Source organism: Homo sapiens, chromosome 11 (assembly GCF_000001405.40).
Source record: "Homo sapiens chromosome 11, GRCh38.p14 Primary Assembly".
Classification (NCBI taxonomy): Eukaryota; Metazoa; Chordata; class Mammalia; order Primates; family Hominidae; genus Homo; species Homo sapiens.
In genome coordinates this window covers 47,266,320-47,278,369 of record NC_000011.10, presented here as the reverse complement: position 1 = coordinate 47,278,369, position 12,050 = coordinate 47,266,320, and the positions used below count along the sequence as shown (strand labels likewise).

The 12,050-nt window shown below is 50.0% G+C and overlaps 2 protein-coding genes and 1 long non-coding RNA gene across 129 annotated transcripts in view, besides 4 other annotated features; 1 reads left to right on the top strand and 2 right to left on the bottom strand.

Moving 5' to 3' along the window:
* The window catches only part of MADD (MAP kinase activating death domain), a 60,844-nt gene extending 51,662 nt beyond the window's left edge, over positions 1-9,182 (bottom strand). For 63 of the 105 annotated variants that reach the window (NR_164835.1, NR_164840.1, NR_164841.1 and 60 more), the window contains exons 1-6: positions 8,124-8,237; positions 4,394-4,543; positions 3,211-3,807; positions 2,168-2,471; positions 1,507-1,638; positions 92-205 (exon numbers count right to left, since the gene is read on the bottom strand). Coding sequence is in view for 97 of the 105 variants with exons in the window: in NM_001376571.1 (NP_001363500.1) it covers positions 92-205; positions 1,507-1,638; positions 2,168-2,471; positions 3,211-3,807; positions 4,394-4,455 (1,209 nt within the window). In the remaining 8 variants the exon portion in view is untranslated. The other 42 variants (NM_003682.4, NM_001376600.1, NM_001376574.1 and 39 more) reach the window with 10 other exon arrangements.
* MADD-AS1 (MADD antisense RNA 1) lies at positions 6,260-7,713 on the top strand. 2 transcript variants are annotated; one of them, NR_120569.1, is made up of 3 exons: positions 6,260-6,294; positions 7,229-7,291; positions 7,390-7,713. It is a non-coding gene; the product is annotated as an MADD antisense RNA 1 (long non-coding RNA). The 2 variants fall into 2 exon arrangements; NR_120568.1 differs by lacking the exon at positions 6,260-6,294 and adding an exon at positions 6,295-6,408.
* Positions 7,946-8,475: a silencer, noted in NCBI's record as "silent region_3326". NCBI's record gives its function as "represses an Ori minimal core promoter by ATAC-STARR-seq in GM12878 lymphoblastoid cells {active_cell/tissue: GM12878}" and the evidence as "EXISTENCE:reporter gene assay evidence [ECO:0000049][PMID:35858748]".
* Positions 8,178-8,472: an enhancer, noted in NCBI's record as "tiled region #9889; HepG2 Activating DNase matched - State 1:Tss". NCBI's record gives its function as "activates a minimal TATA promoter and a strong SV40 promoter by Sharpr-MPRA in HepG2 cells {active_cell/tissue: HepG2}" and the evidence as "EXISTENCE:reporter gene assay evidence [ECO:0000049][PMID:27701403]".
* Positions 8,686-8,795: a silencer, noted in NCBI's record as "silent region_3325". NCBI's record gives its function as "represses an Ori minimal core promoter by ATAC-STARR-seq in GM12878 lymphoblastoid cells {active_cell/tissue: GM12878}" and the evidence as "EXISTENCE:reporter gene assay evidence [ECO:0000049][PMID:35858748]".
* Positions 8,946-9,055: an enhancer, noted in NCBI's record as "active region_4695". NCBI's record gives its function as "activates an Ori minimal core promoter by ATAC-STARR-seq in GM12878 lymphoblastoid cells {active_cell/tissue: GM12878}" and the evidence as "EXISTENCE:reporter gene assay evidence [ECO:0000049][PMID:35858748]".
* NR1H3 (nuclear receptor subfamily 1 group H member 3) overlaps positions 9,337-12,050 on the bottom strand; it is a 20,734-nt gene continuing 18,020 nt past the window's right edge. For 21 of the 22 annotated variants that reach the window (NM_001251935.2, NM_001251934.2, XM_047426201.1 and 18 more), the window contains 3 exons: positions 10,344-10,457; positions 10,015-10,109; positions 9,337-9,820 (listed from right to left, as the gene is read on the bottom strand). In NM_001251935.2, coding sequence (NP_001238864.1) covers positions 9,674-9,820; positions 10,015-10,109; positions 10,344-10,457 — 356 coding nt within the window. In that variant the 3' untranslated portion in view covers positions 9,337-9,673. Of the gene's footprint in view, positions 9,821-10,014; positions 10,142-10,343; positions 10,458-12,050 lie in introns of those variants that run through there. The other variant, XM_017017056.2, reaches the window with a different exon arrangement.

Genomic DNA, 12,050 nt, shown 5'->3' with positions numbered 1-12,050 from the left:
CCTGAAAGGAATCTAGAAACAGATATCTCAGGACTGGGTCTAGAATGCAATCCTCCTCTAGACTCTACAATGCCTCAGCCAAGAACCTCACCCTATTGCTGTCCAGATCCACTAGCCATACATCATCAGGCATTTTGAAGTCCAGTTTGTAGAGGAAGAAGCTGGCAGGAACCCCAATGATGTACGGGGTTGGAGCCAACAGCAGCTGTGGAAATGATAAAGAAGGTGAGAAACAAAGACAAAACCTATCATGAGCACTTATCAAGTCTGGATTCTTCTAGATAAGGAAATGCAGATACAATCCCTCTTCCAAAACTCTTGAGGCCAGATGTATTTGAAAATTCAGAATTTTTCAGATTTTTTGAAAGGTAACATGGTACATTTTTTTGTATACAGTAGTCTTTCTTATCCACAGTTTCACTTTCTGTGATTCCAGTTAACTGAGGCAAACTGTAGTCTGAAAATATTAAAAGGAAAATTCCAGAAATAAACAATTCATAAATTTTAAACTGCAGCTTGATCATATCTGAAGTGCAGGACAATAGTTCTGAGAAGCATGATGAAATCTCATGCTGTCCCGCTCTGTCCCACCCAGACATGAATCACCCCTGTGTCCAGCCTGTAGCCATCTCGGTTATCAGATCAACTGTCACACAATCTCAGCGTTTGTGTTCAAGTAACCCTTATTTTACTTAATAATGGCCCCAAAGCACAAGGGTACTGATGCTGGCAATTGGGATATGCCAAAGAGAAGCCAAATATATGTAGAAAGAGGCTGGGCACGGTGGCTCATGCCTGTAATCCCAGCACTTTGGGAGGCTGAGGCAGGCGGATCACCTAAGGTCAAGAGTTCAAGACCAGCCCAGCCAACATGGTGAAACCCCGCCTCTACTAAAAATACAAAAAATTATTTGGTGTGTGGTGGTGGCAGTGCCTGTAATCCCAGCTACTAGGGAGGCTGAAGCAGGAGAATCACTTGAACCTGGAAGGCAGAGGCTCCAGTGGGCCGAGATTGTGCCACTGTACTCCAGCCTGGGGGATAGAGGGAGACTCTGTCTCCAAAAAACACCAAATATATGCCCAAAGAGAAAACTGTTACTCTCTTACTGTGTCTAATTCATAAATTAAACGGTATCACCGGTATATATGTATAGAAAAAAACAAAGTATCTATAGAGTTTGGAACTATCTGTGGTTTGAGGCATCCACTGGTGGGTCTTGGAATGTGTCCTCCACAGATAAGGAGGAACTACTGTATTACGTAACACACGTAACACCTGCTGCAGTGTAGCCAGTGGCCTACAGTCATTAACATTTGTTGTGATAAATGAAAACTAAAATAGCATAAGCCTTGCCACCAGATCAGTTCAAATCAGTCAGATTTTGTAGACAAATAAGTTATGACAAAGGATTGAGGACCAGCACTCACTTACAACTTCTTTGAGCATTAAGCCTCCTCCCTCAGGAAGACAGAGGTGAGAAAGCCGGAAGTCGCCTTGAGACTCACCTGCTCTGCTGATGCCATGCAGGTGGGTAGCAGCGGGATGACAGGAAACATATACTCCAGTGGGTAGATCATTGCCACGAATGCCATCACAGACATGGAGAGTGCATTGTAGTCTCGGGACTGTAGCACCACCTGTCATGAGCCATCCAGTAAGAATCACTCCAAAACATAAAATATGGTTTACAAGAAAACAGCTTCCAACATTACAACTTGGTTTCCACTTCATCGAGCCTACAGCTCCAGCTTTGTCTCTCCCACTGCCCCCTGCCCCACCATGCCTGCCACCTCCCAATCCAGGCACAATGGTGATCCTCAGTCACCTGAGATATGCAAATCACTCCCTTACCTTCCTAGTTCTTGTACTGCCCATCCCAGGACCACTCACTGAAACAGAACTACTGATATTTCCAAAGAATTAGGTCAGTACAATTAAGGATAAGCCCTAATGAATGGTAAACCCTCTAAATACATCCCACATGATACCAGTATCTTAATTCAACCCACATCTACGGAACACCTGCTGTTTACCAGGCATCATGTTACCTCCTGAAGACAAAAAGGTGAAAAATATGTAGTCCCTGTCCTCTAAGAGCTCGTGGTCTGGCCACTGGCATATTTAAGAGTTTCTCCCCTAGAAAGGTCTAGGAAGCTTGCCTCTCACCTTGTGCTCTAACAGAATGCAGGTTAGCACCTGGAGACAGGCGTCCACACCTAGAAGTTCCAAGGGAAGGTGCAGTGGGAAATCCACTAGGGTGAATCGAGATGGGTCTGGAAGAGCAAAGGTCAGAGCTGGCTGGAGCTCTTGGGGTAGGACCTCGATGTCTACTCGCTTCTGCCCAGAGACGGGTACTGGGGAGCGCAGCAATCGATAGATCCAGGCCTCAATCTCTCGAAGGTCATGCAGAAGGGCACTTGACTTCTCCTCTACCAGCAGCGATCCAGTAAAGATCCGCCACATGGTGTCCCTGAGAAGCAGACAGCAGGAATCAGACACATTAGCATCAGAAGCTGATACCCTACTGCAACTCAGTATCACCACAGAGGCTCTAATGATGACAATGGGAAACGGAGCATCATTAAGAAAGCCCAGTCTCTGAGCTCAGATAGGACCGGAAAGTATATACAATGGCAAAAGCAAATGTAAAGATATATACTGGGTAAGACTTACTGTCCTAACCACAGTTAAAACACCAAATTCCAGCATTACTCCAAACACAATTTTGGAAAGAGGTCTAACTCTGCAGCAGTCTTTTGCTTAGTAAAGATTAACTCTTGGCTGGGGATGATGCTCACGCCTATAATCCCAGCACTTTGGGAGGCCAACGTGGGTGGACCACCTGAGGTGAGGAGTTTGAGACCAGCCTGGCCAACATGGCGAAACCTTGTCTCTACAAAAATACCAAAATTAGCTGGTCATGGTGGCGTGCACCTGTAATCCCAGCTACTCGGGAGGCTGAGGCAGAAGGATCACTTGAACCCAGGAGGCAGGGGTTGCAGTGAGCCGAGATCGCACCACTGTACTCCAGCCTGGGCAACAGAGCGAGACTGTCTCCAAAAGAAAAAAGATTAACTCTAAATACTCTAAATATGCTTAATAGGTCTGAAGGACCTTGAGCTGTAGAGGAAATTTCCTATGCCCCTCAAAGACCAATTACATGGAATCTCTAAATGCTTCCCCCATTAGGCATCAGCAGCAAACTGTACCTTTGTACGCCTCGAGGGATGCCCAGTTTCTTGCCCAGAAGGCGCTCACTACAGCAGTCCACCAGGCGCTTGAGAGTATACAAACACTCTCGGAAGGTGGAGAAGAAAGGGTAGTGGCTGAGCACGCACAGGGACGTGAGAGTACTGTTGCGGGAGCGGCTCCCCGCCTTGGCCCGGCGTTTGCCCCGAGGAGACTGGTTCACATCAGGGGTAGAGTCAGCACTGAGAGGCTGCAGGGATGAGCCACTCTCTGAGCTCTCAGTGCCACCCTCTTCTGAGGCACAGGTGGCATGGGTTCCTTCCTTCCCACGGGACCCTGCCCCACCTTCCCCCTTCTCCTTAGAGATTCGCTTTTGGAAGGAGCGGTAGAAGTTAACACAGATGCCATATCGCGTGACTCCAGTGTCCTTGTCAGTGAGGGTGAAGACAAAAGAGGTATCATCCCGAAGGCTCATGCGCCGCTGCCGCACGCTCAGGCAGCCCTCGGGCTGGCAGAAGAACACTACATCTGGGGGCAGGGGAAACTCAGTGTGATCCTCCAAGGGGTATCGCCGTAGCAATTCAGGAGTCTGGGCCACGCTATCACTGCTCGGGTGCCTGAAGAACATAAAGACAAATTCAGCAGCCTGAAGGGATGGAATGGGCTATCAAATTTTAACCACAGTCAACAAATAAAGCTCAAGATGCTATTTTGGATAAAGTAACCTGACTGTAACACCTTGGAAAATATGGGTGCTGCCTGCCGCATGGAGCTGGTAACCTAAGTGAAGTCTACACTGTCATGAAGGCATCTATTCTGAAACGAAGGGGAGATTTTGACAATAAAATTATCACTGGCACCTTAAGATGATTAACATCTTTTAAAGTGAATTAACTAATAAATTACCAAAAAAGTATACATAGAGGAGTAGCTTATAATGTACTTTTTCTTTTTACAAAATAAGAAAACTGAGGTATAAAGAGTATATTTGCTCGACATCAAGAAGATGTTAGTTAAGAGCAGGGTTTTGCTTTCAATCCACCTGATTTTGTTTTTTCCCTACTGGCTTCGATGCTCCCATCAGGGTAAAATAACAGGAGAAGATGAGCTATGCAAAGCAACATGGAAATCGGAGAAGGGAACAACTGCAGATTTTATGGCTATCCCAGATATTAAGACAAAAGTCAATCTCTTCTTGGTTACCTGGCCCCTACGATCACTAGATAGTCAAGTAACCGAGGACAGAACTTCTTCTTTTGCACCATGGTTCCAATTCATCAGTTTATCTCAGAGAAGCATCAGGGCACCAAGCAAGGAGTCAGCATTCCCAGGAGGAATTCTGAAAATCGAAGTCTAATAGGAAAAAAAGTACTGATAAGATCCACTGCTGTGCCTAAGGGACTCATCCCTCTCAACTTCTTCCCGGCCAGAGGCAGAGGTCAGAAGGTCTTCCACTTTCATACTAATGATAGGAGAACTTGACGCTTGCCTAGCCTCGTGTCTAGGCTCATGAGCTCACAGAATCGAATGTTAAAAAATAGATAGGCCAGGCATGGTGGCTCACGCCTGTAATCCCAGAACTCTGGGAGGCCGAGGCGGATCACCTGAGGTCAGGAGTTTGAGACCAGCTGGCCAACATGGCAAAACCCCATCTCTACTAAAAATACAAAAAAATTAGCCGGGTGTGGTGGCACACATCTGTAATCCCAGCTACTCGGGAGTCTGAGGCATGAGAATCGCTTGAACCCAGGAGGTGGAGGCTGTGGTGAGCTGAGATCGCACCACTGCACTCGAGCCTGGGTGACAGAGTGAGACTCCGTCTCAAGAAAAAAAAAAAAATGTAGATAAATAATGGTTCACCTACCTATCCCTACCAATGACTTAATTTCCAGCTTAACGCCTGGGGCTCTGTTTCTGAAAAACAGACCTAGGCCATCTAATCTGGACTCAGTCATTGTAACAAAAATTGAAGTCACTCTCAGGATCCCTCCAGGGTGGATCAGGATCAAACCAGACTCCTCAACTAGCTAGCACTAACCTGCACTTCTAGGTCTAGATGGAAACTTAATTATTCTGTTTCAACAATCTACATTCAGCTTGATGTAAAACTACCACATAGACTGTCTAGTTAACCATGCTCAGACAATAACAGCTGGCTATTCTACCTCATGTGATCTCAAATGAAAATGTCCATGCCCCAATTGCCTAATCTGCACCACTTTTCTCCCTCCTTCAGGCAAGAAAGGAGCCCAGAGGCCACTGCTACTAGCTCTGCCCTTGGTGCTGAATCATAATCTCTCCTCTATTTTGATCTCAGGCTCAGAATCAGTAATACAATACCCACAGATGAGTCCTTGTCCTACTATACATTACAGAGGCTATGAATTAGAGGCAGAAATACCAGGATTTCTGCAAGGACAGGGAGACGTGCTCAGAGAAATTTCTAAACTATGTCCTAAAATTAGGAAAAGCTTTCATGGTCTTAATTATAATTTATTTCGTGTTAAGTGTCTATACACTTCTCTAAATAAAACGTTTCACCCCGCTGCACAGCTATTTCTGGTAGGGCTACTTCTTCTATGAGTAGAAGTTCTTTTCTCATATTTCTAGTGTTCCAGGATTCTACCTCTGTGCTCTACATGCGGCCTAAGACCTTGTTCAATGCACACGGAGAGAAACCCATTATCGTATACACACACACACCCTCTACTCCCTCACCTGCTGCTGCGGGCACTCCCATATATACAGACATACACACTCCCTGGATGCTTAAGGCCCTATTTGGTTTAGGTAATGAGTAGAAGTTTTTTCTCCCCTACCTAACAATAAACAAGACCTATTTGCAATACCTCTCAAATCCTCAAAATACTGCTTTCTCCTTTCCCTTGCTCCCAGTAGAGGACCTGCAGGTAATAGGATTCAGTTTTATCTCTATAGCGACTCTGGCTCCCAGCACTATTTATAGCAGAGCCACAGCCCCTCCCCTGCTTGGTGACCGCACAGTGCTAGCAGCTGCTACTCCAGAGTCAGCCAAGGCCCATAACAATTCACTCTCCTCGAACCTAGAGACACTTCTCCCACTGACAGTACCTGCTAAGAATTAGGTTGTCTTCTCCCTCATCTGTCTGTAGTTTGTACTTCGTCCTAATTCTGGCTTTTGATAGTGATATCTCTAGAACACCACCAGGTTTCTGAGCACGCCATATATTCATTTCTAGGTATCACCACTGCTTAACGAACCCAAATAGTCCCTTGGTTCTCCCAACTGCAATAGAGTCATGAGCAAACTGCAGGAGGTGGGGCACTATAACAGAGCCGCACTCAGCTCCTCCTGAGCAGAATCCAAGGGGGAGAGAAATAGAGAAATGAAATGGGATATGAGTAAAAAGCATAATTTGTTTTAATAAAGAATTATGTAGTTAACCTGTCATGGGATTCGAAAAAAAAAAAAGAATTATGTAGAAATGACTAGAGTGAGAGCCAAAGTATCTTAAAGTAAAACAGAATTTATAGAACCAGAGCTCTAGACTACACCTTGCAATCTATGTTTACATTGAAAACCCGGAGCCCTCTCCAACCAAAATCTCAAAGATCAGGCCTGAAGCACCTCCTACTGAGTACGCATCAGGCCTCTCTAGCCTTGGTGGGATCTCAGTCCCTCTCCACTGACAACTATCTGACGAAACTCAAGTCACTCACAATCATTTCCTTCCAGAGCCACAAGGACCCTGAGATCTTGTTATTATTCTAGCTACGGGTGGTAGGATAAATTTTTAGCCAGAGTTCACATCTGATCAGCAGCCACTGCCTTCAGTTATTCAGATTGCAAAGATAACTAAGATTTTCCTTCTCATTCTCTCCTCTCTCCCCTCCCCAAAAAGACTAACACCTTTAACTCCTCTAAAGACTAAATCCTCTAACATCACCCACAACTCACACTCTTGTCTTCACAACCAACGAGGCTCCGACTCTGCCTCTTGCCTCAACCATGTTTACTAACGTAGAGCCTCTGGTTCCTATCTTCCTGTATTCCAAAAGCATCCAGCTCAAAATGCATATCTATCTGCTGAAGTCCGACATCACCATCAGCTCCACCCAGAGGTAGATTTAGGATTCACAAACTTTTAAGTTATCTATGCCTTTTCAGCAGAAATAGCCATGCTAACCAACCCTTTGGATTCGTCCCTCATTTTGGACAGGATCTCACAGTAAAACCACAGGAACCAGAGAGCGATATGACATCTCTGCTGACGTGAACACAACAGGAGGCTCTCCTCCCCTCCTCTACCTCCCCAGGCAGTGACCTTGCAAGCTCATCAGCACAGACTGGTCCAGCGTATGGGAGAACTGGAGCAAGGAGGCTGGCAGCTGGCAGGGTTGGGGTAGAGGGGAGGGCAGGGAAAGGTGGAAGAAGGTAGATACACGAGGATGGGGAGGAGAGCGATTGCAGAAAGATGAAATGGTGTTCTCTCTCCAGCAAGTCAATTTTGAAATATCAAGTTAAAAAAAAAATTTCTTGAGAACCAAACGTGTTTCTCCAAATTCTAGCCAAAAATAAGGCGCAAGCACGCACACGCACAAGCACACCCGCCAAGCGCTGTGCGGGTTCGGCCCCAGGGCTGGCCAGCTCTGCCCGCCCCCTCACCTGCTGGACAGTTCTCCCCCGCCCCCGCCCCCGCCCCGAACCTGAACCCGAGCCGCCCGCTCGGCAGGAACCAAGCCCAGTAGCCTGAGCCCCCTCCTCTGCCCGGGGCGCCCCCATCCCCGTCCCCGCCCCTCCTCGGCAGACCCCCGTCCCCACGCCCCTTCACACTCCCCCAGGGCCTCCTGAGAGACCCCTTCCTCCAAGAGCCACGGTGTCCTCTCAGAGCCCGTCTCCCGCTCGGAGTCCCCAGACGCTCGCCCAGGACCCCACCGGCCCAGACTCTCCTACCTCCCAAGCTCTGGGGGACTGGCCAGGCCCAGCCCGACGTCCCCCGGCAGCGGGGCGTCAGTCGCTCCCCAGCGCGGCGCCGCTCCGAGCGGGCGCCAGTTCCGCGTCTGCACTGGGGGGCACGCACCACTCGCGCGGGGTGCGGAGGGGGAGGCCGGGGCCGGGGCCGTACCATTCAGCCCGGGGGGCCGGGGCTGCACCGAGCCGAGCGCCGCGGGGCGGGGCCGACCTCGGGAGACAGCGGCTGCGCACAGACCTAGCCTAGCGCCCGTGGGCGCGGGAGGGCGCGCCAGGCCGACCCAGCGCCGTCGCGTGCCAAGTGGGGGACCCACAGCAGTACCTTCTGTTTGGGTTGCTCAGAGAGACTCTCACCCGACGGGGTCATAGCGCCCGTTTCGACGACATGGGGATTCCTCTGAAAGTCACTTCCCAAGATAATCGGCCCCTGAGACTTCCTGACGGGCTCCCCATCCCCCAGTCCCCACCCCCCACTCACGCGCTTTGGCGGTGCTCGGCGTCCGAGCAGGGAAGCCGGCTGCCGAGCGGTGGAGCCTACCAATCCTGGGCAGCGGGGGCAGAGGGGGGCGCGCGGCCGCGGTTACCTCCACCGGGCGCGCGCGGGGAGTGGGGGGGCGTGGCCGCGCCGCGGCGCCCGCTGGGAGATGGAGTCCAGTCAGTCCGCGAGGACAGCCCCGCCTCAGGACATCCTCCCCGCGGCCACACGGCTCTTCTCTTCCTGTCCCAAAGGGCCTGGGGACCGACACTGGGTTCTAGGTCTTTCAGGTTGTGCCTTTTTCAGATGCCAAAGGAAAAACCAAGGCATGCTACACATGCACGTGAGGTGCACCGCCGACGCCTTAGCGCTGAAATCCAACACTTCCTCCTCCACCGCAGAAAGGCAACCGGATCCTACCCGGATCCCAGCAGGGGAAGGGGGCGCCTAAGCCTCAGCATTCCATTTACCCATATGGCGCAGTGGGGGTTAGTAAGAAGAGGCCCCCTCTCACGGCCAAGGCTGTCATTTGTGACTCTCCCTCCTCTGGGCCTGGAGGCGGATCCTAAAGATCGCAGGCTTCCTCCTCTATTACCGTGTCCCCACCCCCAATCCAGAAATTGGTTTCTCTCATTTTGTATTCATTTTGATCTTCCTGTTCAAACAGTACCAGACCTATCAGTGAGGCGGCGCTGAGGCATTTATGGCCATACCACAGAGTGACAGTGGAGAATTTTTCTTGGGGCCCTGTGGGAAAAACAGGAAGTGGTGGAGGCAGGATGGGCAGGGCTCTGGAGAACCCTGTGCAAAGTGGCCCCCAGGCCCATCCGTTTGTGGGGTCAGCATGATCTTCAGACACAGCACAGTGTTAGCGAGGGCTCCACTGCTCAGTAGCCACAAAACTCGCAACCCTTTGACTCTCTTTTAATGCCACGGGAGGATCTCCTTGCCCAGCTCCCAGGAATGTTTGCCCTTCTCAGTCTGTTCCACTTCTAGGAGGCAGCCACCAGGCCTCAGCCATCCGGCCAAGAAAACAGAAAATATGGGGACAGAACAGTCATTCGTGCACATCCCAGATCTCAGAGAGCAGCGGTGGGAGCTTTTTGTCCTGCAGACGCAGTGCAAACACTTGCTCTGAGTGGACGCTGCTCAGGGTCCGGAGGCTCACCAGTTTCATTAGCATCCGTGGGAACATCAGTCGGTCCTGGGGAAAGGAGAGAGACAAACACAGCTTTTGCCTGTCCCCAGGGAAGCGGGGCAAGAGTAGGGGAGTTGTGGGAGAGGTGAATTGTCTGCACAGCATGCAGTCAGAGAGAAATTCTTGAAGGGAAAGTAGGTATGTCAGGGAATGGGCCTGTGTGTGGGAAGGAGGAAAAGGAACACCATGGGGAGACTCACATGGGGATGGTGGATGGAGACGTAGGCATGCAGGGCTTCCACATATGTGTGCTGCAGCCTCTCTACCTGGAGCTGGTCCTGCACGTTGGGCCGGTCTATAGGTCACCAAGAGAGTTGAGGAGCAGGTCTGGCCAGGGTCCAGTTCCATACCCCAAATTGCAACCAAAATATAGAGACATGCTCCAGCCAAGCTCTCTCATCCTAAAATAACACAGCAAATGCCTCCACCCTCCCAAGCCACCACCCCCCTCCCCCCACCGATTCCTGTGGGACCTGCAGCCCTCCTTGGTGTAAGTCTCTTGCTGTTTCCCATTGCCCCTCCTCCACACCTGCAGAGAAGATGCTGATAGCAATGAGCAAGGCAAACTCGGCATCATTGAGTTGCAGCTCATTCATGGCCCTGGAGAACTCGAAGATGGGGTTGATGAATTCCACTTGCAGCCCTGGGGAGGAAGAAGGGAGGCTGACGCAAGCAGCAGGAGCAGCAGGAACTTTCTTCTCTCCTCACCTTAGGGAACTATTAGGAACTCACTAAGAAGTTTACTGAGGCCGGGCACAGTGGCTCACGCCTGTAATCCCAGCACTTTCGGAGGCTGAGGCGGGCGGATCACCTGAAGTCAGGAGTTCGAGAAGAGCCTGGCCAACATGGCGAAACCCCGTCTGTACTAAAAACACAAAAACTAGCCGGGCGTGGTGGCAGGTGCCTGTAATCCCAGCTACTTGGGAGGCTGAGGCAGGAGAATTGCTTGAACACGGGAGGCAGAGGTTGCAGTGACCCAAGATTGCACTACTGCACTCCAGCCTGGGCGATAGAGCGAGATTCCGTCAAAAAAAAAAAAAAGGTCTACAAGGCTTTGCTGTGTAACCTTGAGCAAATGTCTTAACCCCTCTATAAGCCTCATCTGTGAAATGGGAATCATATCTGAACCCTTCTCAGAAAATTGTTGGTATAGTTCAATGACAAAGTATGCAGGGCACTTAGCGCTGTGTCTGGCACACAAGAGGTGCTGAATTAAATAATAATTCTGGTATTCTTGTTTTTTTTCTTTGAGACAGGGTCTTGTTCTATCACCCAGACTGGAGTGCAGTGGCACAATCACAGCTCACTGCAGCCTCGACCTCCCGGGTGCAAGCCATCCTCCTACTTCAGCCTCCCTAGTAGCTGGGACTACAGGTGCATACCATCACAAGTAGCTAATTCTTATATTTTCAGTTGTGACAGGATTTCACCATGTTGCCCAGGCTGGTCTCGAACTCCTGGACTCAAGCAATCCACCCGCCTCGCCCTCCCAAAGTGCTGGGATTACAGGCACCAGACACCATCACCTGCCAATTCTGTCATTAAAATTCTTGAGGGCTCCACATTTCTAGAAATAGAGGCAACTCTTATTTTTGTTTATCAAGAATCGTTTTTCAGCAAGGCACGGCGGTTCATGCCTGTAATCCCAGTATTTTGGGAGGCCGAGGCAGGGGGATCACCTGAGTTCAGGAGTTTGAGACCAGCCTGGCCGACATGGCAAAACCCTGTCTCACTGAAAATACAAAAATTAGCTGGGCGTGGTGGTGCACTCCTGTAATTCCAGCTACTTAGGAGGCTGAGGCAGGAGAATTGCTTGAATCTGGGAGGCGGAGGTTGCAGTAAGCCGAGATCACGCCACTGCACTCCAGCCTGGATGACAGAGCGAAACTCCATCTCAAAAAAAAAAAAAGAAAAAGAAAAAAGGCTGGATGCGGTGGCTTATCCCTATAATCCCAGCACTTTAGGAGGCCGAGGCAGACGGATTGCCTGAGCTCAAGAGTTTGAGACCAGCCTGGGCAACACAGTGAAACCCGGTCTCTACTAAAAATACAAAAATTAACTGGGCATGGTGGCGCACCTGTAGTCCCAGCTACTCGGGAGGCTGAGCAGGCGAATTGCTTGAACCTGGGAGGTGGAGGTTGCAGTGAGCCGAGATTGTTCTACTTGCACTCCAGCCTGGGCGACAGAGCAAGATTCTGGCTCAAAAAAAAAAAAAATCCTTTTTCAGCAGGGCACG